Source organism: Homo sapiens, chromosome 1, assembly GCF_000001405.40.
Source record: "Homo sapiens chromosome 1, GRCh38.p14 Primary Assembly".
Lineage (NCBI taxonomy): Eukaryota > Metazoa > Chordata > Mammalia > Primates > Hominidae > Homo > Homo sapiens.
The window spans coordinates 209,516,754-209,543,576 of NC_000001.11; the positions used below are offsets into that span (position 1 = coordinate 209,516,754).

The following is a 26,823-nucleotide window of genomic DNA, read 5'->3' on the forward strand; positions in this document are numbered from 1 at the left end:
AGAATAATTAACATTTATACAATGTTTAGTTACAGAGTACTTTCACATGCTATACCACATTTAATTAATTCTAACAACAGCACTGGAAAATAAGTATAATTATGCTCTTTAGTTCCTTCTAGACAGAAAGCTTTCATGGGGATGAAAGACTGTTCCTTAGCTCAGAGTAGGGAATCAAAGTAGGCGGGGCTTAGTTCAGAGTGGGCGGGGCTTAGCTCAGAATAGGCCATCAATTTGTAGAATTGAAGTGTGAACTCTGAGGATGAAGAAACAGGGCTGCAGGGGTGTGTAACTTGCACCAAGTCACCCTACTTTACATTGCGCCACACCGCCCAGCTAAGTCTTCGAAATGTTCATAAGGTGCTTGAGCACTGATTCCTTTGCCTGTTCAATGTTTGAATTCCACTGTCACTGGCTTTTCTTTTTTCCTCGTAATGAAGCAAAACCTGGTGGGTTAATTAATCCTTCTTGATGCTGGGCAGCAGTAATAGGATCAAGAAGAAAGCCTTTCTCCTCCTGTGCTCCCAAGGATGCCCAGCGGGAGACTGTGAGGAGATGGAACACAGCCTTCACTCTGTTAATTGTTCAAGAGCAAATCACCTGTCAGCAGGAAACAGAAAAAAAGACAGCACGAAATTCAGAGTCAGAACAATAAATAACATTCAGTGCTATACCCTTGAGAAAAATAAAGCTGCCAACATTCTGTTTCTTAGGGAAAACAAAAATGCTCAGTGTTTCTGCAGACCTGTGAAATCCAGTAGAAAATACTGCAGCCTGCCCAGACTGGTCGTCTCTTTTATCAACTCAGGGTGCACCAGCCCAAACCCCACAGCCAGCACCACTGTCCAGAGAGACAGGCACATGTATGCAGGAATAAAAATGATTACGCAAATATAAAAATGGATTTCCTAATAAGAAATTCCCTTTGGTGAAAGGGACAGAGGAGCATATTACAATGGCCTCACACTATTCTCTCTGTGTCCACTCCCATACTCCTAAATTCACCCTAAGTAGCTCCCTAAGGTGAGTCCCCCATGAGCTGGCCTCTCTACCACTCTATAGCCTCGTACCTCAGGCTTTTCCAGCACCAAATTGCTCCTGGTGTCACTCCGGACACTGCTCACACCTCAGCCTCTGCTCCTTCCTGCCTCTCCAGCAGGAGTGACTTTTCTGTCACCTGCTAAATTCTCCTCTACCCTTAAGGATCATCTCCTGTCACCACTTCCCCACCTCTAGCCTGTGCATCTGGAGCACTCTGTGACACTCTACTATTTGCTGTGACCAAGCAAACAGATTCCTGAGCCAGATAACCCAGATTCAAGTCTATTCTCTGCTACTTATTGCTTGTCTGATCTTGGCTGTGATCTTTCTTGATGGCTGGGTGTCTCTGTTCCTCATTTATAAAATGGGATGGAGATAATAATAGTTCCTACTTCACAGAGTTGTGTGAAGATTAAACTGTTTAATACATGTAAATTACTTAGCCCAATGCCCATTGTGAGCTACTATGGCCATTAATAATTTCACCATAATCATCAGCATATCCATCTTCTTCTTTAAGCTATGAGTTATTTGAGGGAAAGGTCCACATCTTATCCTTCCCTTTATGCCCATCACTTAGATAGTTGCTATGGTTTGTATGTGGTTTGTCCTCACCAAAACTCATTAAGTTTGACTGCCAGTGAGGCAGTGTTGGAGGTGAGGCCTGATGGGAGGTGTTTGGGTCATAGGAGTTTCACCCTCACAGGTGCCTTGGTGCTGTTTTTGCTGTAGTGAGTTCTTCTCAAGACACAGGGTTAGTTGTAGCAGAAATGGATTAGTTCTCACAAGAGTGGTTGTTATAAAGTGAGAACACACTTCATGTTTGGCCCCTTCCTGTGTTTACTTCCCCTTTGACCTTCCACCGTGTTATAACAAAGCACCAAAGTCCTCACCAGAAGCTAGTGCCATGCCCCTGAACTTCTCAGCCTGCAGAACCATGAGATAAATAAACCTTCTTTGTTTATAAATTGCCCAGTCTCAAGTATTCTGTTATAGCAGCACAAAACAGACTAAGATAGAAAATTGGTGCCAGGAGTGGGATATCGCTATAAAGAAACCTGAAAGTATAGAAGCAGCTTGGAAATGGTTAAGAGGCAAGAGTTGAAAAAGTTTGGAGGAGCAGACCAGCAAAAGCCTGTATTGCTATGACTTAAACATTAAGTGTGATTCTGGTGAGGGCTCAGAAGAAGACAAAAAGATGAGGGAAAGATTGGAACTTCTTAGAGATCAGTTAAGCAGTCATGACCAAAATGCTGATAGAAAATGGACCATAAAGGCCATTCTGATGAGGTCTCAGATGGAAATGAGGATATTGATCTGGAAACTGGAGCAATGGTCAGCCTTGTTATATGGTTGCAAAGAACGTGGCTATATTTTGTCCATGCCCTAGGGTTTTGTGGAAGGCCAAACTTAAGAGCAATAATATAGCATATCTGTGGAAGGAATTTCTAAGCAGCAAAGCACTCAGGCTGCTGCATGTTTACTTCTAACTGCTTACAGTGAACTGCTAGGAAAAAAGGGAAGCAAAGTAGAAAGATCTGGAAAATTCACAGCCTGGCCATGTGGCAGAGAATTAAAAAAAACATTTTTCAAGAGAGACATTAAGAGTTTGGTGGAGCAACACTTACTAAAGAGATTAGCATGGCTAAAAGGGAATCAGGTGCTTATAGTCAAAACAATGGGGAAAAGGCTTCAAAGGCATGTTTAAGGTTTTTGAGGGCACCCTTCCCATTACAGACCCAGAAGCCTAGGAAGACAGAATGGTTTCAGGGGACAGGTCTGGGGCACTGCTGCCCTGTGCTGCCTCGGGATGCTAGCTCCCCTCAGGATACTACTGCAATGGCTCAAGTGACCCCAGGTGAGAAAAAGAGACTCATGTGGCCACTCCAGAGGGTGCAAGCAGTAAGCCTTGGAATCATGTGGTGTTAACTCTTTAGGCCTGCGGAATGTGAGAGCTATGAAGTATGTCTTCCTCCACCAAGATTCCAAAGGATATATGGAAAAGCCTGTGGGCCCAAGCAAAGACTTGTCACAGGGGAGGAGCGCTGCAGAGAGCCTCTACTAGGGCAATGACAAGAGGAAATGTAGAGTTGGAGCTGCCACAGCGAGTCCCCACCAGGGCAATGCCTAGTGGAGATACAAGGGCAGGGCTGCCACTGGGACCCCCAGAATTGTAGAGCCACTGGAACATGCAACGTCAGCTCAAAAAAGCCACAGGCATTTGACTCCAACTTATGAGAGCAACCAAGTAGGATATGCCCAGCAAAGCCATGAGAACAGTGCTGTGCAAGGCCTTGAGAGCTCACCACTCACACTAGTGTGCCCAGAATGTGGGACATGGAGTCAAAGGAGATCATTCCAGAGGGTTAAGATTTAATGTTTACCCCGAAGGGTTTTATTTTTGCTTGGAACCTGTTACGTCTTTCATCTTTTGGTGTATTTCTCCATTTTGTAATGGGAATATCTACCCTATGCCTGTTCCACCATTGTGTCTTGGAAGTAAATAACTTGTTTTTTATTTTATGAACTCAGAACTAAAAGGAACTTGCCTTGAGGCTCAGATAAGACTTTGATCTTTGGACTTTTACACTGGTGCTAGAACAAATTAAGACTTTTGGGACCACTAAGAGGGAATGATTGTATTTTACCTGTAAGAAGGACATGAGTTTTGGTCAGGGGATGGGAGTTGGCCAGGGGTGGAATGCTATGGGGTGGAATGTTATGGTTTGGACATGGTTTGTCCCCACCAAAACTCATATTGAAGTTTAGTTGCTAATGTGGCCATACTGGGAGATGGGGTCTAATGAAAGGTGTTTAAGTCACAGGGGCTGCACCTCATGGGTCTTGATGCCATTCTTAAAACAGTGAGTGAGTTCTCACTCTCATAAGACTAGATTAGCTCTTGGGGGAATGGATTAGTTCCTGCAAGAATGGATTGTTATAAAGCATGGATGCCCTTCATATTAGGCTCCTTCATACATGCCCACTTCCCACGACCTTCCACCATGTTATGACACAACAAGAAAGACCTTTTCAGAAGCCAGCACCATGTCCTTGAACTTCCCAGCCTGCAGAACTGTGAGCTAAATAAACTTCTTTTCTTTATAAAGTATCCAGTATCAGGTATTCTATTATGGCAACATAAAACAGACTAAGATAATAATGTTCCTGAACACCTGTCTTCCCTCTCCCCTGCATGATTATTAACCTTTCCTACCCATTGCTTGTGACTTGCAGTGCCTTCCTAAAGGAAGGGTACCTTGCCCATTGACGACAAGCATAATTATGTACTTGTCTTGGCCAATAAAATGTGAATGAAAGTGACAGTGTTCCCGTTCCACAAAGACACTTCAAGAGGCATTCCATGATTTTACTAGCTCCTTTCGTCCCTCTGCCATGAGAATGGCATGTCTCAGATAAGGTTGCTCCTCCATCCTAGATCCCAGATGCCAGGAAACAGCTTGGAACAGGAGTAGAACGACAGCTGACTGGCAATGAGCATGCAATATGAACAAGAAATAAGTATTTGGTTATAAGCCACTGGGTTTTGGGGTTGTACTTATCACAACATAACTTAGTGAAAGCTGGTGAACACAGCACCCAATAAAAGTTTGTTGAATAAATGAATATACTGAAAAAACAATGAATGAGTGAGTGAATTATGTTTTCTCCAGTACCTAGCTAGGACTATGGTTCTTATGTACATCACCAAATCAACTAATTTAAGCATGTGCTCTTTTAATAGTGACTATATTATCTGACACTTACTTTGGATATAAATACTTTTAACTAAAAAGTCAGGCATGACCTTGTAGTCATCCAGACACCACTCGGAATATCCATCCCCAGAACCCATGTGGAAGTAAAGTGGCAGTGAAGAGACCAACACTTCTTGGGCAACTACTGTTTCAAACACTTTACATATGCCAGCTCAGCAGAGCCCCTTCAAGTATATTTTCCAGATGTGGAAACAGGCTCAGAAACCCTGAGAAGGTCATCAGAGATATAAGTGATGGTACACGTGTGAACGCAGATCTGTTTGAGTACAAAGCCCATGTTTTCCATTAAAGGACGCTATAACCATCAAAGTACTTGGAGATAAGCCAGGGAAGTCTGGCTAACCAACAACACTCCTCCTATACTACCTATATTCCTCACCTCTTTTTCTTATTTTTTGGCACATGGCCCAAAATGTTAACAGTTGGAGATTCAAGTGAGATAATTTGAAAATGCAACACTCCTGGTGGGATTAAACAGACTATCCATCATTAGTCTCAGTAAATGAATTTTTTAAATCAGATTGTTTTCTCATCACAAAATTTAAATCTGTCCAAGAAAAGAGAAAATGCTAGTTTGGGTATAATAGAAGAGGGAGAAAGTGGAAAGAGTAGCTCCCATCAGGGGCTGCTTTTCTGTGGGGCTGAGCAGGTAAGATAATGAGTGAAGAAGGCTGGGTAGGGTATTGGCAAGCTGGAGTCCACAGACCTGACCTAAAGGGGACAGCTCCTGGTCTATTTCAGTCAATTACTATTAGGTAGGAATGCCAGGCTTTTAGAAGTTGGAAATCTGGACATGTATTTGGAGTCTCCAAATGTTTAAATGTTGGCAACTAATTCAAGTTGTTTTTTTCAATACTGTATATTCGAACCTTTCTTCCAAAAGTTGTTATATGGGTTCTGACATATGTGTCACCTATTTGTTACTCACAGGACACTTGAGAGAATTGCATGTTTAGAGCAGCCTACATTTAGAGGAGATAAAGGGAAGGGGGAAGTCAGAGCATATTATAAGACCCTTGTGCTTAGGAGGGAGAGGAGAAGGGGCAGAGGACAGTGAAAGGCAGGTACAGAATGTAAATGGAAAGTCACTGAAAAACTTCTTTTAATGCAATTGGCTTGGCCTGACTTCGTTCTTCCCTATTTCAGCACTGCATCAAATAAAAGCAAATTCTGATAAGGAAAAGCCATTTGTTCCAGAATAAACTTCATTACTCTGCTAAATATCTTTACTGGATTTCATTTGATCCTAGTCATTCTCAATTCAATATTGCACTCAGCCAGCTTAACCTTTTAAAAGGAGTTTTATTGATGGTGTGTTATGCAGACATTAACATTTCTCAAAAAAAAAAACAAGAAAGAAAGAAATAGAAAAAATTAAATTGCTCTGCTTAGCGATCTTAATTATCTGGAATAATTAGCTCCAGTCAATTCTCCAACAAGAGCTCTCCAGAGAAATCAGTGTTTAGGGAAAGGGAAAGAAAGGAGGAGCCAAACTTGGGATCAAAGCAAGTATTTGGCAAGTTATTTGGAAATATCTAATTAACCCCGAGAGTGAAGCTGACAATCAAAGCCACTTTTTTTGGTACTTAATTATTAAAAGCAAATGAAGAAAGTAAATATTCAGGGAACTGGTCTATTGAGCGTTGGAAAATAGGAGCCACTTTGTGCCAAAGTACTCAATAATCCCCAAATACATTGGCATGCATGCTCCATGCCTTTGTTCCTGCTAATCTCTGTTTAAGATATTTTTCCACCCCATCTCTGCTTAGAAACTCCTACTAGGCCTCTATGATATCATCCCTAACCCACGTTTCTCCCATACCAGAGAAAATTATTCTCCCCTTTTTGTCCATAGTACTCATACTGTTGTGCCTTCATTAGGTATTTTTCTGCCCCCCTAGATGGTAAGCATAGTGCATATTCATCTCTGTATCCCCAGTGCCTAGTGTGTCTGGAACAGAGTAGGTGCTTTATAAGTGGAAGTTGAATGAATCTACAGAGCAACAGCTTTTTATGCAGTCTGGTACATACTGGAAAGTCAACAAATCTTCCCTTGTTTTTCTTTCTTGCCTTTTTTCTCCCTCCTCCTCTATTCTTTCTTTCTTTCTTTCTTCTTTCTTTCTTCCTTCCTTTCTTTCTTCTTTCTTTCTTTTTTCTCTCTCTCCCTTTCTCTTTCTTTCTTCTTTCTCTTTCTTTCTTTCTCCTTCCTTCCTTCCTATTTATTTTAGTTTTAGGTTCTACCATTAAAGGTATTGATTTCAGAGCTGCTGGGCCCAAACAACAGTGTTCTCCTATGTGAGTCTGTGGTTTTGACTTGTGATTGACTTTCAATAAGCCAATGCAAATTTCAGTGGAGTGGCTGAGAAACCCCAGTGCCCAGGTAGCATGGGGGTACTCGATGCACAACCCCATTAGAAGAGAAATTTCTTGATTTGCAGCCACTACTCGGGCTTGCAGTGTGAGAAACTTCAGTTCCCAGAAGAAGAATTTAAAGAAGAAATGATGCACAAAGCATCTGCTAATGTAACCCTGGGTTATTTTTTAAAACTAGCTTGTCACTGTTGGTACATAAATCAGTACAGCCATTATGGAAAACAGTATGGAAGTTCCTCAAAATACTAAAATTAGAACTAACATATGATTCAGCAATTCCACTACTGGGTATATATTCAAAAGAAAGGAAATCAACATATCAAAGAGATATCTGCACACTTAACGTGTATTGCAGCACTATTCACAATAGCCTAAATATGGAATCAACCTAAGTGTCCAACAGATGAATAGAGAAAGAAAATGTATATGTACACAATAGAATATTACTCAGCCATAAAAAATAATGAAATCCTGTCATTTGTAGCAATGTGCATGGAACTGGAGGTCATTAGGTTAAGTGAAATAAGCCAAGCACAGAGACAAATATTGCATCTTCTCACTTATATGTGGGAGCTTAAAAAGTAGATGCCATAAAGATAAAGAGCAGACTGGTAGTTGCTGGAGGCTGGGAGAGTGGAGGGAAGGGGGAATGAAGAGAAGCTGATTAATGAATACAAATATATAATTATATAGAAGAAATAAGATATGGTGTTCAATGGATCAGCAGGGTGACTATCATTAATATTAATCTATTGTACATTTCAAAATAGCTAGAATGTGCGCCGGGTGCGGTGGCTTATGCCTGTAATTCCAACATTTTTGAAAACCAAGGCAGGCAGATTGCTTGAGCCCAGGAGTTTGAGATCAGCCTGGGCAACATGGCAAAAACCCGTCTCTTTAACAAATACAAAAATTAGTCCACATGGTGGTGCACGCCTCTAGTTGCAGCTACTTGGAGGGCTGAGGCAGGAGGATTGCTTGCACCTGGGTAGAGGGGAGTCCAGCCTGGGTGACAGAGACTCTGTCTCAAAAAGAAAAAAAAACAGCTAGAATGTTTCAAAATTTGAATGTTCCTAGCAAAAAGGAAAGATAAATATTTAAGGTGATGGATAACCCAATTGCTCAGAATTGATTATATGAATGTATCAAATTATCACATGTACCCCCAAAATATGTACATCTATTATGTATCAATAAGAAAACTAGCTTGTGTACCTGCCGTGAGGACCATGACAATCCTGGGGGCCATTTGTAGAATATTCATCCCCAGACTCTGAACTGAGTCTTGAAGTCTGAGTAAGAATTTGCTGGGTGAAGAAAAGGGTAACGTTCTTTCAAAAGGAGAGACCAGCATAAACAAGGGTCCCGGGGGGCAGAACATCATGATAGGAGTAGGAATGCAGGTGAGGTTTTGGTTTTCTGCAGAATATTGGTACTCTGCTATAACCTGTAAATAGAGAGTAAGAAAGTGAGGCAGGTAGTGTTAAGAAGAGACATTCATAGTCATTGCTAATTTCTGAGCTTGGATGTGGCTGTTAGTTTTAGCCTCAGGGTACACTGCCCCCTGCACTTCCAATCTCACTCAGGTGTCCTACAAGCACCCCAGATTCAATAAGTACAACAATTGATGCTTTACATTTCTCGTAAGCTTTCTTCTCCTCTTAACATTCTGTTAATTGCACCATCAATCCTAGTTGTCTAAGGCAAAATTCTTGGAAATCATTCTTGAACCTCTCTTTCCCTCTCTCCCACACCCAATTAACCAGCAAATCCTGAAGGCTTAGCCTCCTAACATTTCCTGCATCTCTGCATTCTGCCCTATTTCCATTATCACTGCCTTCATCATCTTTTCCCCTGGACAATAGCCACCCATAACCCCTTACCTCCAGCCTTGCTCACCTCAACTCCAAGCTTCCTACCTATCACTCCTCTGCCAGCATGTTCAGGATAAGGTTCAAACTCCCAGACATGCATATAAGGACTTCTGAGCCCTGGCCTTGCCTGCCCCTTCTGCTTGATCTCTGTCTACTCACTTCTGCATTGCACTTTCCACTTTGATAAATCTGAATGGCCTGGAGTTCCATGACACTATATGCTATCTCTCATCTCTGTGTCTTTGCTCCTGCTCTCCCCTCTCCTGAACCCTCCTCTCACTTTTCTTCAGCTGGCTCTTACTAAACTTTCAACACTCAGTTCTGGCATCTTCTCTTCCAGGAAATCTTCCTTCAAAGTCCAGACTCCCCTAGTGTCCTCCTCTGTGCTCCTGCAGCCCCCTGTGCACATTCCTGCCCTTTACCTCCCACCATTTCATGGGGATTAAGTAATTACATGAGATCTGTCTCTCCAGGCTCTGGCTTCCTCAAGGACAGCTGCCACCAGGTCCTATCCATCTTGTAAGTCCAGTTCTTAACGTGGTGGCACTCGGCTGTTACACATATGTTTGTTGAGCTGCACTCCAGGCTGTGCCCTCTGAGATGACTCTTTTGGCAAATAGAAAAGCTCAGCCTAAGCCAAGATGTGCCTGCCCCAAGACACAGCAAAGGAAGGTCCAGAGAACAGCCAAGGGCTCCAGAGAGTTCCAGAAAGTTTTTGCTCTGTTTTGTTTATAAGTTTCTGAAAAGTGGAAAGCATACAGGCTATAGAGTCCAAACATATCTGGGTTGAAATCTTAGTCCTACCAGTATTAGCTAATGTAACCATTGGAGAAATACGTCATCTCGGTGGGTTTCAGGTAAATTATCTAAAATATTAGGATTATTTGCTTAAATGGAAAAACTGTTTTTAAAGCCCCTAGCACAGTAACTAGTACAATGTAAGTGCCCAATAAATGTTAGTTCTCTCTTGTAGCCTCCATATTTCTGGAGAAATAGGAGATCCCCATGGCCTGGAATAGAATAACTTTGGTTGCCAGAAACACAAGATATTCTTGTTTTCTACATGCCTTAAAATCTTATCATTTTAAACTCTAATTACTAGTACTAATTGGCTTTCATCTCTTAAGAGCCTATTTTATGCCAGGTACTATGCAAGATCCTCAAGGTACGTTTTCTTACTTATTATTTGTGATGGTAGCGATGTTAGTAAAGTTAGCTCTTACTGAGTCCTTAACTATGCCCTGCTCTGAGTCCTCTCCAAGTATTAACTCATTCAGTCCTCACAATAACTTTAAGAGGTAGATAGAGTATCCCCATTTTAAAGATGAGAAAACTGAGTCTCAGAGTTGTTAATTTGCCCAAGGTACATATTATGGAATAATGCTGGGACTAGAATTCATCTGCACAACACCAAGGACTCTAATTTTTTCATCTTGCTATAAAGTATCTTCAGTATTGTACACAGTTTTATTAAAAGTTAAGATGATAGCTTTATTTTAATACCTTTCCTCATAATGCCCTTTCCACTTTTGGAAACTTTATGTTGTTCAATCAGCAAATAGTGTATTGGGTAAGAGAAACACTAGGTTATTTTCAACCTCAAGCTATTTAATGAGATCATTGGAGTCAACTGGTCAACTGTTGTGACCTACGAGAGAGAATATTTTCTGGACTGTGTCTTTATTACTGACAGATCATTGTGGCAATGTGTAATATTCAATAACTGACTTGTAACATACCATACTGAATTGTACTACTTGTACAGATTGAATTACGAATGTGCTTTTATAAAGGCCAACTCTTTGGTCCCAGGAACCCTGAAGACCTCAAGTTAATTGCTCATTCAGCAAGAATTTACTGAATGCCTGATAAATCCCAGGCCTTATTCTAGTCTGAGGATTCTGAGATGAATAAGTCACTGTCTCTTCTCCTAAGGTACCCACAGTCTCACTGGGGAGATTCACAGAGGAATTGACTTCACCCAGGGTGACAAGTAAAGTTCCCCTCTTCAAATCCAAAGCAAGGCTCTAATGTCTCAGGAGTGTTCTTAATGCATCATCCAGAACTCCCTTCATTTTATCCTTAGATATATATTGGCCTAAAAAGCCTCAGCCTGGCATAGTGGAGTGGTTTGGGGCAGAGTAGACTCTCAATGTGGTTAGAGAGCACTGAGGACCCCTGCTTCTATGTGGACTCTCACATGGCTGAGTCTCCTCAGCCCCAGGTGGGAAAAGGGCTGGCCTGAGGTTCTACTGCTGCTGAGTCAGATCCTCCTCTCTTGCTAGACAAAGAGCATTTTCCTCCCCAACAACAGCGTGTCAGACCGAGCTCCCTGCACCATCCTCCCCCGCAATCTCCCAAGCACAGTATCGACACTTGAGATGGACTGGAAGGCCCTGAGCAAATATTGGCTCTTGAGAGGTTAATAATTTACAAATGAACTACAGCTGATAAAAAAAAAAAATCAGGGCCTTTGCTGCTGGGATATGGTGCATGACATGCATGCAGCCAGTCTTCTCCAGTGGGCAACAAAGTGGCAGGCACCAGCTGGCTCCTTTATAAAGGTTTAGAGAGGTGGGCCAGACCTTGTTCTTTCCCATATAACAACGGGAGTCGTGGGGAGCCCGAGCGTTTGGTCAAACCACCAATATTTCTTCTGTACACAGAAGTCCAGTGAGATGCATAGGCAGCACGCTTCTCCTGGGGGCAGCTTGGCAGCTCCATTCTTCATGCCAGGAAGGACATCAGGATTTTTATTCAACTCCACAGGCCTGCCACACCATCCCACCAGCCTTTGCAAACCACTTCTGTACTGTGACTTAGACCCCCTTGGACAGGCAGGTGCCTATGTTTGATCCCCTGCAGAGAGAAGGAAACAAAGCCCACTTTTTAAAGCTGTTGTTGATTCCTTGGGATTTTGGTGGGCACATACAGGAGTGAGCAAGATGAAGCAGAGGAACAGAAAAAGCCTGCCAGCAAGCAGCCCGTGCATTTAGGAGCTGAGAAAGGAGCCCACAACAAATGGACAGAACCAGAATCATTCTGTGTGGAAAAGAGGTGGTTTAGAAGAGAGGGGGCGGTGGCTGTGTTCATCCTGGGGAGTAGCATAGCAAGGAACAAACAGACAAGGTTCAAGAGGATGAAATGAACTCCTCCTTCAGGAAAGAAATTACTAGGCTTGGACATGAAGAAACTGTTGTGTTGCAGAATGGATATTTCTATTCCCTGCTCTACTCCATTGTCTGGGCCAGTACCTATGGAAGGCAGATTAACACCAGAGAGCATTTAGTAATTTTAGTAATTTTCTCAGGTGAAGAACCAGAAACTCTTTTTACATAGTAGTCCATAAAAGCTATGCTAAGAAGAAACCCATTCTGGCAGTGAGAAAGTTTGTGCTGTTTTATCATCCTCTCCCCACCCTGCTACCCAGCCCAAAGTAGAACCCAGAACAGCACACACATAATCACACTCAACACACAAATACACACACACAGAGGACATAATCACACTCACACATACACACAGAGGACATAATCACACTCACACACACACACACAGAGGACATAATCACACTCTCACACACACACAGGACATAATCACACACACACACTCACACTGCACATATTACACTCACACTGGACATACACACACACACACTGGCACACGCACATACTCAGATGTACTCATACACGTGCTCAGACTTGCACATACACTCAAAAGTAACCAAACACAAGTGCTCACACTTGCATTCACATACATGCTCCCAGGTGCAAACACACACGCTCCCAGGTGCAAACACACACACAAACTCATACCTGAGCCCATCAAGAAGAGAGCTGGGGGAACAAATGACCATGCCTGAGCCTGGGGAGAACAGATGGAGCCAGGCAGAGAGTCCTGGTGGGAGGCTTTCAGCCCTGCGCTTCCCCACATCTGCAATGTCCTTCGTGATCATGTCCACACACCTCCAAATCTTACCCACATGTAGGTGCCCCCAGCCAGAGAGGCTGCTCAGCCCTTGTTCTTGGGAACTGCTTCCACTGCACAAAGAGGGGTCTTAGCAGCCATGTTTCTGGGGACAGTTCCCCTGGCCATAGCTAATGAGTTTACAGACTGGAGTCCTGACACTCTGCTTGATTAATCACATTAGATCACCTGGAAACTGAATGTTTCATCAGAGAAACAAAGAATGTTTGGCACTGAATTACATTGACAGGGGAACTCTCTGGGGAAGGGCCACAGATTCCACCACAGGGTCCCTGAAGATCTTTGCTTCTCACCCCTACCTGAGACTTACTTGTTGAGTTTTTTCATGGGTTCTGTGAGATAGTAGAGTCTGCTGCCTGTGAACACCTTTTGTTACAAAAGCTAGACTCACTTTAATTTATTTGCAAAAAAACAATTAATATACCATCCATTGTAATTCTATTCAAATATCCACTCCTGCCCATGTCTCCAGCTAGAAGAAATCTGTTCATCCTCAGAGCATTCAAAGCATTTTTATGGCCTCATTTTCTTCCCTGTACCATTCATTTCTCTCTTACCCTTAGTACTAGATCATATGCTCCTTTAAGGTACAAGTTATGTTTTTTTGTTTTGTTTTTTGTTTGAGACAGGGTCTTGTTCTGTTATCCAGGATGGAGTGCAGTGGCATGATCATAGCTCACTACAGCCTTGACCTCCTGGATTCAAGGGATCCTCCCAACTCAGCCTCCCAAGTAGCTGCGACTATAGGTGCACCACCACAGCTGGTTAATTTTTCATTTAAAAAAAATTTAGTAGAGACAAGGTCTTGCCATGTTGCCCAGGCTGGTGTCAAACCCATGAGCTCAAGCGATCCTCCCACCTCAGCCTCCCAAAAGTGCTGGGATTACAGGTGTAAGCCATCACACCTGACCAGAAGCCATATTTTACTTTATCTTTTTAGCCCACTTAGCAATTAGCACTGTGCCTTCCACACAATAGTTTTTGATAAGCATTTGTTGTACGAATGTGCAAATGCATGATTGAATAAGTGAGCTAATAAGTGATCTCAGGTGATGTTAAGTATGTCTTTTACTTTTCCTCCAGGAATTTATGGGGTCTTGGTCTCAGAAGCTAAATCTCCTCACATGTGAATCAATTCATTTTGTTTCAACATACATTTGTTGACATCAAACATGTGCCAGACCCTGTACAAAGAGGACACAAAATGAGTAAGACATGGACTGTCCTTAAGGAACTCATGTTCTCACTGCACCAAGGGTGGAGGTTGTGAATAAGGCAAAGGAACACAGCTCCCCGCCCCGTTCACCCTGTACACAGCCCTGTACACCCTGTTCCCGGGAACAGCAGAGGTAGGAAAGTCACAAATTGTACATCCACCCCAATCTTGCAACAAGAGTGTATTAAAAGCCATTTTTCAAGGCTGAGTAAGAGTTTGTGACCTGATAGACGATGGCTGGCAAACTCATTTCATCATAAATATCACAGCAGATAATATACTTCAATACAAGTGATGCATCTGCCTATGCCAGGATCCTCAGAGTGAGTAATGCTCCTCCAATATGGGCTTCTGAAAGATAAACAAATTATGGGCTGTAATTACCTGACATTTGAGTTTCCTTTTTATGAGATTTTCTTCACTCTAATCACACTCAGAGTGGGAGGATGGAAGATACAATTGGGGCTTAAAGAAGGGAAGAAGAGGGGTCTGCTCTCTCAGCAGAGAGGCGGATGCCAGATAAACAGCTCCTAAAGAAGGTGCTGGTGCTTCTGTCCCTCTGGAATGAGAGGAAAGGCTCAGCAAGTAGGAAGATGTGCAGAAAGTGGAGAAATGAGAAAGGAGAGAGAGTGGTGATTTCTCAAGTGTGTGCATTTTTAGACGATGCCTGTGACAGAAAAGAAATTCTCTTCTCTGACGCATACATATCACATAAAGACATAATGCATGCTATGCAGACAGAATTCTACATCTTCAAACTCTCCCCGCTGCAGAGCTCAGGCGGAGATTCACACACTCTCTAGCCCACTGTGGACCTTGAATTTGACCCTTCCTCCTTTCTGAAGGCAGCATTTCTCATCTCCCCTTCAAAGGTTTGCCTTAAACTTCACTTTTACAAATCCTTTACCTCCTGATAGGCTCCTGTCTGCCAACATCGATTGTTCCTCCAAAATGTTTCCTCTATGGGCCTGTTGTTAATATTTGTACTTGAAAATTAAACCTCTCCTTACACAGGGGACCAGACTCTATTGAGTCTGTGGCTTCTTCTGAAGGGTCAGAGAAATATTTCAAGATGGGAAGGAAGTGTGCCATAAAAAATAATAAATCAACAAATGAGAGGGTCACAGTGTAATGTAGTAATCTCTAAATTGGACGTCAGGAAATCTGGGTTTAATTAGAATCTTCACTGTTTCTTATGAAAGTGATGTTTCTTTGCTTCAAGTCAATTTTCTCCTCACTTAAAATGGGAATCACTTATTTGGTAGGTTGCTTTAAGGATCCAACGTCATAATATCCATAAAATTCCATGTCACCTTCTGGGTTCCATAAATATTTATTTCATCCCAGCCTCCTAAGTCTGAATAATAAAGGACTATAAATGTGCACAGCATTCTTTGTTGTACTTTTGAAGGTCTTTTCACACTAACAACATTCTCCAGAGGCAGGAAAGACTAAAGCAGTTGCCTTTTTTTTAATTGATGAAGCCATTGAAAGAATTCAGGGAGGTTAAGAGACTTGCCCAGAGCTATGTGGAGACTGAAAACCCAGATTCTTGAACCTTTCTGTGGTCCTCAAAGACAGCATACTTACCTGGGAGGGTCAGGTCAAAAGGGGGTCCCTTTTATGAACTATTTAAAAACTCCTGGCATTTCTGAGCAGAGAAGCAGCCCATGTGGCAACTGAGGTGTGAATCCAGTGGATATGAACTTTGCCTCAAAGAAAATGAGCCAGCTGACACCTGATGCCAGAAATGCAATGGGTGAGATCAATGGTTTGAATCTGAAAAAAGGCAGTGGGGGGGGTGGGGTGTGTGGGGGGCGTGCTATGCATAGGGAGAAGAAGTATGCATGAACTTAGTGATAAATTCATTTGTTTCCTAGGGTACCACAAATTGGTGGCTTAAAAGAACATATTATCTCACTGTTCTGGGAGCTAGAGATCCAAAATCAAGATGTCAGCAGGGTCATGTTCTCTCTGAAGGTGCTAGGGAAGATTCCTTCCTTGACTCTTTGTAGTTTTGGGTTATTGCCAGCAATTCATGGTGTTCCTTGGCTTGTAGACACATTGCTTCAGTCTCTTGTTTCCGTAGTCACACAGTGATCTGCCAGGGTGTGTCTGTTTTTGTGTCTCTTCTCCTCTCCTTATGAGGATACCATCATATTGGATTCATGGTGCACCTGTACCAGAATGACCTCATCTTAACTGAGATGGCCATTAATTAAATAACCAATTGAATAATTAAATAACCAATTAAATAGGTCATTTGCAATGACCCAATTTCCAAATAGAACCACATTCTGAGGCTCCAGGTAGGACACAAATTTTGGGGGAACACTATTCAACCCAGCACAATAAGAAAATGAGAGCCAAGCTGAGGAGGAAGAATGAAAACCTGAGAAAGAAAACTAGGTGAAGAGGGAGACTATGAGACAGAAGACAGACAAAGTAGAGAGTGAGACAGAGACCAGAGGAGACAGAAGTGGAAAGACAGAGTGAAAAGATGAGAAAGGAAGAGAAAGAGAAGGATGCTAGTGAAGCACAGATACACAGACCCCTGCACACACCATGTGGGAGACACACAACAACTTGGTGTTTAAAGAATTTCCCCCAAATATGCACCTTCTCTCCCACTAGATGCCCACTGGGCAGCCCTAAAGCTGTTACTGTAGAAACTGAAGTAGACATCCTCTTTGGGGTTAATAGATGGCCCCAGTAAGAGAGACCAGTTAGTCCGTTGGCCCTCACATTCCTACTTCCTCCCATGACTCTGGCTCCAGGGGCTTCCAGTTTTCAACGTTAGAACCTCCGTGATGGTTTTTCAAAAAAAAGTCTTTTTTTCAAAAGGCCAATTTTCAGGTGGTGTTATGTTTATTTACCTCCTATAGAGCAGAAAATGGGCCACTCAGGAGATGCGATGATGACACTTCCCCCTTGAGAAGCAGCTGTTCCTAGCTTCTGGCAAGCTGCTTAGGGTCAGACTGTCCCCATTTTTCATCCAACCAGATGTCATCCAGCGTTATTCTACAGATTCCATGTCCTGGTCTTTTCCAACTCACTGGAGTTTTCCAAAGATCTCCAAAGAGGTGCTAGCCACTTTAGTATCAGCCAAAACTGACACCAGGAAGGAGGAATCATAAATTAGCAGTAGGAAGGAGGCCTTGGGGCTGGCAGAACACCAGTGTGCAGTGTGTGTGTGTGTGTGTGTGTGTGTGTGTAAGGGGGAGGTTTTCATGGAGAAATAGGTGGAGGTAGAAAGATATCCATCAATATAGACCAAGACCAAGCCATTTCCAAGTTACGGGGCTCTAGAACCCTCTTTGTCATTGGAAAAATCACGCATTCACTCAGAACAGAAAGTCACATAGGACAGCCAGAATTTATAAGCTAAGATGTGCTAAGTCTCCCCTTGCTTTATTTTCTTTTGCCATATTGAAAATTTAGTGAGTTTGGCTTTAGGATAATAGTCCCCACTCCTTCCCTATCATAGAAACCACCATTTAAAAAGAGAAAGCCACAAGCTTGCAGGTCTCCTAAGGGAAATTTCCCATGCCAGCCTGACCTGGCCAGTAGTGTGACGGGGGAGATGTGGGTGAAAGGACAGAGGTGGGCAGACACCACCATAGCATCGTGCTCAGCCGCTGTGCCATCCCTTCGGAGCAGTGAGAGGAAGAGCCCTCTACTGGCAGGAGCATCTTCTGGGCTTCTGGGCTCCCCAGTCCTCTCACCTCCCACAGCAGGAAAGGCAGTGAGGTGCGCAAGCCCATCTCCAGGGACAGCCACAGAAAGAGCAGTGAGTTAGGAGACATTTATCTCACATGGCCACACAATGGAGCATATGCCTTAATTGTCATAGCAGCTGTTATTCATTCGTTGTTTCTCTTATTTACTCATTCATAGTTTTTTTTTTTTTTGTCACCACGGTTACAGTGGTCTATGTTAAGTACTGAAGGTATCAAGATGAAAAAAAGCTCAGTTCCTAATTTTAATTCAAAGCAAGAGCAAAGCAAGAAAAAGGAAGTGTAGGGGCTGAGTGCTCAGGGTCACAAACTATAAAGGAATGGATTCTTTCACCTGAAGGCAGGCTTTCCCATCGCCCCCACAGGGCTGCAGGTGTTTGGGGCCTCTTCTAACTCTGGATCTCTCCTCTGCCAGGTGTCTAGCACCTCCCTGATGACCTGATGACTTAAGACTCCCTTAGATCATTCTCACAATCAACTATGGCACCCTAACCCGTGGGCAGAATAAAAACCTCAGGTCAAGGTGGTAAAAGAATTCTGGAAAGGACTGGAGATGTGGAAGTTTGCAGAGGGAGGTGGTTATTACTGACCTGCCTCCCCTCCTCAGGGTTCTAGGTTAAAAGAGAAGGCCAGACAGCCCAAGGGTATGAAATACAGTGAAATAAACAAACCAAAACAGACACGAGTTTTAAGCAGAACTAAGTAAAATCTATGATTGCGCTATGTACCCATAGTTCTCTTGCTAGACAGAATATTACTTGACCTGAGAAATACCCAGCCTGTAAATTTTTTGTCTCTAATATATTCTTGTGGTGATGTCCTCTTTTAGCATCTGACCAGCAATATTCTTATTTGAAAGCTGCAGAGACTAACTGTGGGCTTGTCATTTGCCATCGGTTCCCCACCTTTCCCTTGCTCTGCTATGTCTTGCAGGGATGACGAGGCCCTCTTGCCAGCTGGACTCTGCCAATGTTTCTGCCAATGGTGCACTGGTGGCAGCCTGGGGAAAGACGGGGAGGGAGGTCAGGGTAGTTATTTCTTCCTTGCTTTGCCTCAGGCCATGCCTCTGACTACATTGCATCAGGTAAGCTTCATCTCCACTAGACAAGGCATGATTGAAGCTCACATTGGTTAGCTTCAGCCTCCTCCTCCCACTATGACTCCAGTCCTTTGTAATTAACAACATTCTGCAACTGTTCATCTTTAGGTTTCTTCACCATTGTTTGGCTTTTCAGCTTCCCCATCATCCACCAATCCAATTCCTGATATCCAATTCTCTCCATTGAAAAACCTAGAGGGGCTTATGTTTTCCTAAGGGAAACTTAATACATTTCTGACTTGTTTAGTAGCAAAGTAATTAACTAGAAGGATGTTGGGTCATTTACAGAATTGCCAGGAGGCAGAGGGGCTATGCAGCCAGACACAGAGCAAAGTTCATTCCACGGAAACGACAGCAAGGACTCCTCCGCAGCCACTGCTGGACTCCAGAATGTGATGACCACCATGAGAACTCCACCAGCTGTGATGCTGAGCCTACCTCTGCTGCCCTTGGACACTCACTCCCAAATAAAGTTCAGATTGCTCTCTCTGATTATCTAACTTGTTAAGTCCACATCATTTTCCCCACCCTAGCTTCAGAAGACTGGAAAATTGAGTTTCTGATATTTGTTAACAGAGTCCAGATCCACATTTCAGTGAGACTTGCAGGGTCAAGAATTCTCCAAATATCAGAAGGAGATCAGATGCAGAAGAGCCAAGAGAAATAAATAAATATTTGTCCCAGGAATAAGACCAGGAGTTAGAGGCTGAGTTTCAGCCCTAGGGTCAGCATGTGAAGAAGAGAATCTCTCTAAGATCACTATGTTAAAGGCAACAGAAAGACTAGAACTCTGGGTGGGAGCTTTTGCCCTATGAGTATAATCACAGGCCTTCTCAGTACCCTTCAAATTGATAATGGGCAACCAGTATTTACAACTATAGGATAGCACAGCTTCCTACCCAGGACTGAATGTCTACCTCACTAAGAGTACTTACCAGATTTGGGGATCAGTCCTGACCCTAGCCAGAGAGAACTTAAGGAATCTCTGGCTTCTGAATCCACTCTGAGGATCCACATTGATTCCTAAGACATTTCTTATTTCTAGGAACTAGGAACTAGGTTCCTACCTTGTACCTCTGACCCAGCTCCGGGGTCTTGCCCTTCTTCCTGGAACCCTGCTGATTCTTAAGAACAAAGGTATTAATTAACATCCCCATTCAATCCCTCTGAAGTGTGGGTCTTGCCTCAGCCCAGCAGTTTTTGTGGTGAGGTCCTCTTTGTCTACCTCCAGATTTGATCTTCCTGTAGTCGCCCCTGCCTGAGCAACAGCCAGCCTGAAATTCCTCCTGTTACCTGCTCTTAGAGGCAGCTTGACATAATAGCAAAAGGATGGATTTCCTTTACATCCTGGAAAGTCAGTCAGACCTGGGTTTTAATCCCAGCTCTAACACTTACTGCTTGTATGAGCTTGGTGGGCTTCTGTACTTACTGTTTCTCTTGTGGTTCTCAAACCTTAGTATGTAAGTGTCTAAGTATCTGCTGTCCTGTTGTGTTTGTTGAAAAGGCAGATTCCTAGTTTCCTTCTCTTGGAGATTCCATTCCTTAGGTCCAAGGTGATTGAGATGCAGGTGGTTTACAGACCACACTTTGAGAATCACTGCCCCACCAGGTTTCCAAGTCCTGTTCATTGTCAATGTGGTTGTCATTCATTCAGTCAGCACTTCCCAGGGTTCAGGTGGGCAGGGGATGTGAGTAAGTACAACCACATCCTCTTATGTTCCAGCTGGAGGTTCCACTTCACCCAGACCTCCTGTATTAGAATCTTGGGATAAAAATGGAGCTGACGTATGCAATTCACCAAAGTTCCACATGTATCTGTTATACAAACCTCTGGTTCAAAAGCCCTGTATTACTGCTTCAGTACCAGACTTGACTCCAGTCCCCTTCCTGCCTTAATTTCCCACCTCCCCATCCTGTGTTCCACTCATACCCTTAGCTTCCCTGCAGCCTTACTTAAGAATAGGGCATTTGCTCTTCATAGATGCCATTTCAATGAGAGTTCCCTCTCAAGAAAGCTAAGTCTTTTTTTATTCTCCAAGATTTTATCTGTATCCATTTGGCAGGAGAGTAGATTCTATTATGATCATTACCCATATGGACAAGCAGCCAAGATTTAATATCTGTTGGTCAATAATAGCTTTCATAACTAATAGCTCTTGATGACCATCTAGAGGGGAGTGTGACCTTCTTATCCTCCTGGTCCCCTTTGCTGGCACTCACATATCCTCCAAAAACTGGGGACCTTGATGCCCACATACATAAGGACCCCCCTTCTCCCGAGGGAGCACACAGCACTTATAACCAGAGTGGGGAAATGGAAGACTGACCTCTCCATCCTCAAAGCCCAACCCATGTTTCACCTCCTCCATGAAGCCGTTCCTGATTCCAGTGCCCTGTGCTACTTTCCCTTCTCAGATTTTCTACCACATGCCATATTACACAGCTTAGCACTGGACTGTGTCCTACTTTGGAATGCTGTTTTTTATTTTTATTTTTTGCTTGTACTTCTTGCTTATCTAGCAATATTGCAGACTCTCTTAGAACTAAATCTTGATTTTAGACTTTCCTTGAAGAATCATGGAGGTGAAAAGAGAAACAGATCAAGGATCTGCTCAAGGATGTCACATTGGAGTGGGAGAGGGGGCTGAGGACATTGACCTGCCTGTGGAGGCAGAGTCTTCAGGCATCTCCCTCCAGGGTGAAGCTGAGGTACAGTATTAAAGGCTGTCATCACCTCCAACATGACTCAGGTCACAGTTGCTGGAGGAAGACCCACTGGTAGGAGAAAGGAAGTGCAAAGGACAGAGCACAAAGAATCCAGGTAGCTGTTGGTAAATACCAACAAGCAGTCACAATCCAAGGAATGTCCACTATCAGCTAGATGCAAAGTAATGGACTAGGGCATAATCCACCAGTTTTGTGGATCCAGGAAGAGGCAGAGTAGGGGTCCCAAGGCACCAGAATGGGATTTTCATTAGGTAACCAGCATTAGAGAGACTGAGCTCATGGACAGGAAAATCATCAAAATTACAGAGTGGAGCCTTCGAGACAGACACAAAAGAACTGTCTCGGAGGCTGACTCTGCTCAAATCCTCAGCAGCTTCTCTGGTCCTCCTGCTCCACCTCATCACCCCAGGGGATTTCTCCAGGCTTGAGAATTGACTCCCTCTCTCTCCTGTGCTGAGCTCTGTGGCAGGTTCTCTGGTTCCCAATATTTCAAGACTCCAACTTTGCTCCGCTTTCACTCAAGTTTGCAGTGGCAGAGGCTGTAGAAGTGAAGTCTGGCTGGCCCTTTCTAATGCCACAGTGCCCAGAATCATGCTAAGTATATATATGGTGGCCATCCATTCGGATACATCAAATAAATACAGCTCACTTAAGCAAGTGCACACCAGAAGGGTGTCAAGAAACCCGGGAGATGGTGAGCCTTCTTCAGAATTCATCTAGATGTCCCCATTATCCTCTCTGTAACTTCTTACGTTCCTCTTCTCTTAAAGAGACCTGGGCTCAAATCTGCCATTTACTAACCTGGTACCTTGGGTAAGTTATTATCTTTAAAAAATGGAGATAGCAGAGCCTATGAATAAGCAGCCTATGTCCCCAGTCTCTGGGGGTGCACTGGCTAGCCTGCCACTCCCCTACCTCACACATCAAATGGTAGGATCTGAGAAGTGGTGCTCAGTGTTAATTGACTTGACCACTTGACTATGACTAAAGATATCAAGAGGCAAGCACTCATTTATAGCAAGTGGGAGAAACATCAGTACATTTTTTCTGGGCACTGGGGATGGCATAGTTCAGTGTTTGTGAGATGGGCTGGTAGTTTGTTTGCAAGGCTAGGCACAAACTCTCTTGAAAGACAAATCACCATATAAATGCTTTAGCATCAGGGCAGCATTAGGGCATGAGTCATGCTCAAAAGATGGATGAAAATGAGGGACAGGGATACCAAGGAGGCAGGATTATGAAGGAGCAAGGACTCTTTTGCTCAGGCCCCCTCCCCCAGATTCTGTGTCAAGGTTTCAGTATGTTTTTAATCACTTTACTATTACTTATAAAAACCAATAGCAGGTGCCTGATGGAAGAAGAAAATAATGATTCAAGCTTGAGAGTCATTTTCCAGTTGATTTCCTTTCTCTTCATTTCCTTTTGACCTCAGTAGGGAAGGCATAGCCTCACTATTCAAAGAAACCATAACTCAGTCCTCACTTACGGACTTTGTTTAAGAAAGTGCTTAATATTTTTCTTCTTATGTCCAAGGGAACTACATTTTAGGTGTTTAATCATCTTTACAGCCCCCAAATATCTGGGATTTATGGAAAGCATTTAAACTCAGTTGAAAAAAATAAAAACAGAGTGTCCTAAATTCAGGGTAAATTTTTACTCTTGTTATGGGTGTTAATTTATGATTCGACAATGATTTCAAGGCTTTACTTCAAATCTTCTGAGGCTTATATTTTCTTATTATTCAACCTGGTTTTATTCTCAGTGTCAAATGAATCACACATTCAATCACACAGAGCACAATGTTCCCCCAAAACACATAATTCAGAGTCTTAGCCTATGGAATTATGAACCCCCTGGGAGGAAGATCAAGGGAGTCCTTGTGGTCTTTCATTCCCCCTGGTGATGAAAATGCCTTATCCTTCAAAAGACTGATTTTTGAGGGGCCAATGCTCCTGGGAGCTAGGTCTTGATGCCAGAGTGTCTCAGCTGTCCTAAGTACAGAATACGGTTCCTGGCCACTGCAATACCATGAGGAGTATTGGGAAAGTCTAAACTCAAGATTTTATTCCAAAGGAATGAAGTAGTTTTGAGAAGAGTTGATCTAGACTTACCAAAGTGGCCTTAAGTGAATCCTCCACTCATGCTTTGGAGGGGGAAGAAGCTGAGACTTGGGGCCTCAACTTTAGTAGTCACGTCTTCTCACTATTAGGTAAGAGACAAGAAGAGTGGTTAGAACCAATCAGGGAGTGGGGGACTCCTGGCAGGTTTTGGATTGCAGGGAAAAAAACCCTATTACACTCCATCCAACCATCCTTGCTCCTGCCCAGGGCTGCAGGCACTCTAGAAAACATCTCTGCAGCCACCATCTCAGGGCAGAGCCCAGGCCCCATGGCTTATCCTGGCTTTGAACCTCCGGCTTTCCTGAATGCTGTCCCTCACTTAGATTCTCCCTTTCTGACTAGCCTCTCCAAACTGAAGCCTTGTTTCCATAGCCTGCCTGGATTTGGAATGCAACTGCTCACCTAGATGACTTTCTCAGTCCCATATTCCTCACCTGTAGGTGGGTAATGGCCTTACCTTCACACTCTACCCAAGTCCTCAGGATGCCCACATCTCCACTTTCATAGAAGGGAGATTAGACAGCCTGTGACTGACATTTGCTGAGGGAGAATGAAGTGTGGCCCAGGCTCTCCCGTGTGCCACACTTCCTGTGTCTCTCACCTTCAATCCAGCATGTGCCCACGGAAGCCACTCTGGTCTGCTCTCCCAGAGGTGAACTGCACTCTGGCTCTCTTCCTCCACCTTTCTCCATGAGCACTGGCATTCACATGTCCTACAAGGGCCTAGTAGGTCAGAGATATATTGATTTCTGATCAGCCAAAAACAGCAGTAACTTTTCAAAAGCATATTTAAGGGAGAATATCTTAACAAAGAAATGAGACGTGGAATTATAAAACTTCAACTAGCTGGATGGAGGAATGATTTGGGAGAAAAACATTCAGTGGTATTGCTCAATTCATATTATATAGAATAAAAAGACACTAGAAGAAAGAAATAAACTACTATTTATTTAGTACCTATTATCTGCAAGACCCTATGATGCATTTTTCCTCATACATTACTTAATTTTATTCTATAAACAGTTTACCAAAATACTGTCTTACTTTTACAAAACAGAATTGAAATGTAAAGAGATTAAGAAAATTAACTCATGATACTCAGCTAGTAAATTGCAGAACTGGGGTTCAAATCCAGGCCTATATTTTCTCCTAAATTTAGGAGTTTTCTATTCCAACGCTTTTGTCATAGTAGGCTTTCAGCTTCAGGAAGTCACTTGAATCTGATGCTGACATTCTTTTCTGAGCAGGAGCTGGCAGTGGTAGACATGGGACACCATCCTCCATCCCAACTCTCTCCTCCAGCCCTGATGCCACTTGCCACCCAAGTGAAAGATACAGGTTGAGCTGCCCACACTTGTTCTTGCCCCAGGCCCACTAGAGAGCAGACTACCTGACACACTGGCCCCTTGTCACCTTGGAACAAGGCCTTTCCCACTTATAGAGACCCTAGAACTCTCAGGAACCCCATATTGCTCTTCACTCTGCAGAGCTGTTCTTCAGAGGCAACGGTGCTGAAGAGAAGGATCTGGATCTGGGCCCCTAATGAAACTCCCCACTAGACTACTGCTTCAGCTTAACCAAACTGGAAATTTGAGCCAATTCTTCTTTATTCTGCTACCCATCTCAGAAAGCAACTTGCAGAGGTCAAGGACAGCAGAGAGTCTTCTTAGCTTCCAATCATTCTGCTTCTTACTATGAACATGATCCATTCAAGTGCAAGAAACCTGTAAGTTCAGGGCTAAGCTGCCATTGAAATGTCTGAGTGCTTAAGAAGCAGGAAAGAAAATGCATGATGCTTTTAAGAAACCACTATTAGCAAAACAATCTCAAATAAACCCAGAAAGTCCTGATAGAGCTGGATGACTCCTACCCAGCCTCAGGGGTCATTCATTTACCAATTTATGATTCAGAGACTATCACTGCTGGCTCAGTCTCTCTCCTATCCCAATCATTGTCCACCTACCAAACTGACCTGTTAGTGGTAGATCTGCCAACAGCCACTCATAGAGCACCAGAAACAATGCCCTCCTCTCTCCCTCCCACCACCACTTATCTTCTCCAGAAATAAAGGGTTAATGCAGGAACTCCTAAGACCCACAATACTCATGACTCACACTGTGGTTAACCAAAAGAACCTACCTTCCTCAAGTCCAAGTCATTACTTCTCTGTACCTCTCTGGACAAGCAGAGAGGCAGGTGTGAGTCAGTGGATCTAAAAGGTGAAGCATAAAGCTATTACAAATTAATAAGAAAAAGTCAAGCACATTGTAGGGGACTGAATTGTGTCCCCTAAAAATATATGTTCAAGTCCTAATGCCCTAGGGCCAATGAACACAACCTGATTTGGAAGTAGGGTCTTTGCAGATGCAGTCAATTTAAGATGAAATACTGCATTAGAGTATGCCCTAAATCCAATAATTGGTGTCCTTATAAGGAGATGAAGATTTAGAGACACACAGATAAGCATGGAGAGAAGACAGTTGTCTGAAGGCGACAGAAATTGAGTAATGCAGCTGTAAGCCAAGGAATACCAAAGAATGCCAGCAAACCCCAGAAGCTAGAAAGAGGCAAGGAAGAATTCTTTCTTAAGAGTCTTCAGAGGGAACGTAGCCCTACCAACACCTTGATTTCAGATATCTAGCGTCTAGAACTATGAAAGAATATATTTCTGTTGCTTTAAGCCACCAAGTTTGTAGTAATTTGTTATGGCAGCCCTAGGAAACTAATATATGCACCATGGGGGGTAAAATAGCAGAATGATATGTAAAAGCAAATCATGAAAGAAGAAATGTAAATGACAATAAAAAATGTAAACCATTTTCAGCCTCGGTGGAAAGAAATATGACTTAAAACAATGATATGTCCTTTTT

At 43.1% G+C, this 26,823-nt stretch overlaps 1 long non-coding RNA gene across 1 annotated transcript, besides 1 other annotated feature; it reads right to left on the reverse strand.

Moving 5' to 3' along the window:
* Positions 1 to 24: 24 nt before the first annotated feature.
* On the reverse strand, positions 25 to 26,165 carry LOC105372898 (uncharacterized). The gene is made up of 7 exons (XR_922535.3): positions 26,093 to 26,165; positions 24,555 to 24,676; positions 23,945 to 24,035; positions 14,494 to 14,621; positions 9,522 to 11,926; positions 8,409 to 8,640; positions 25 to 600 (listed from the first exon to the last, which is right to left on the reverse strand). It is a non-coding gene; the product is annotated as an uncharacterized LOC105372898 (long non-coding RNA).
* Positions 25,757 to 25,957: a silencer, noted in NCBI's record as "peak673 fragment used in MPRA reporter construct". NCBI's record gives its function as "represses an SCP1 promoter by STARR-seq MPRAs in K562 erythroleukemia cells {active_cell/tissue: K562}" and the evidence as "EXISTENCE:reporter gene assay evidence [ECO:0000049][PMID:32103011]".
* Positions 26,166 to 26,823: the final 658 nt, after the last annotated feature.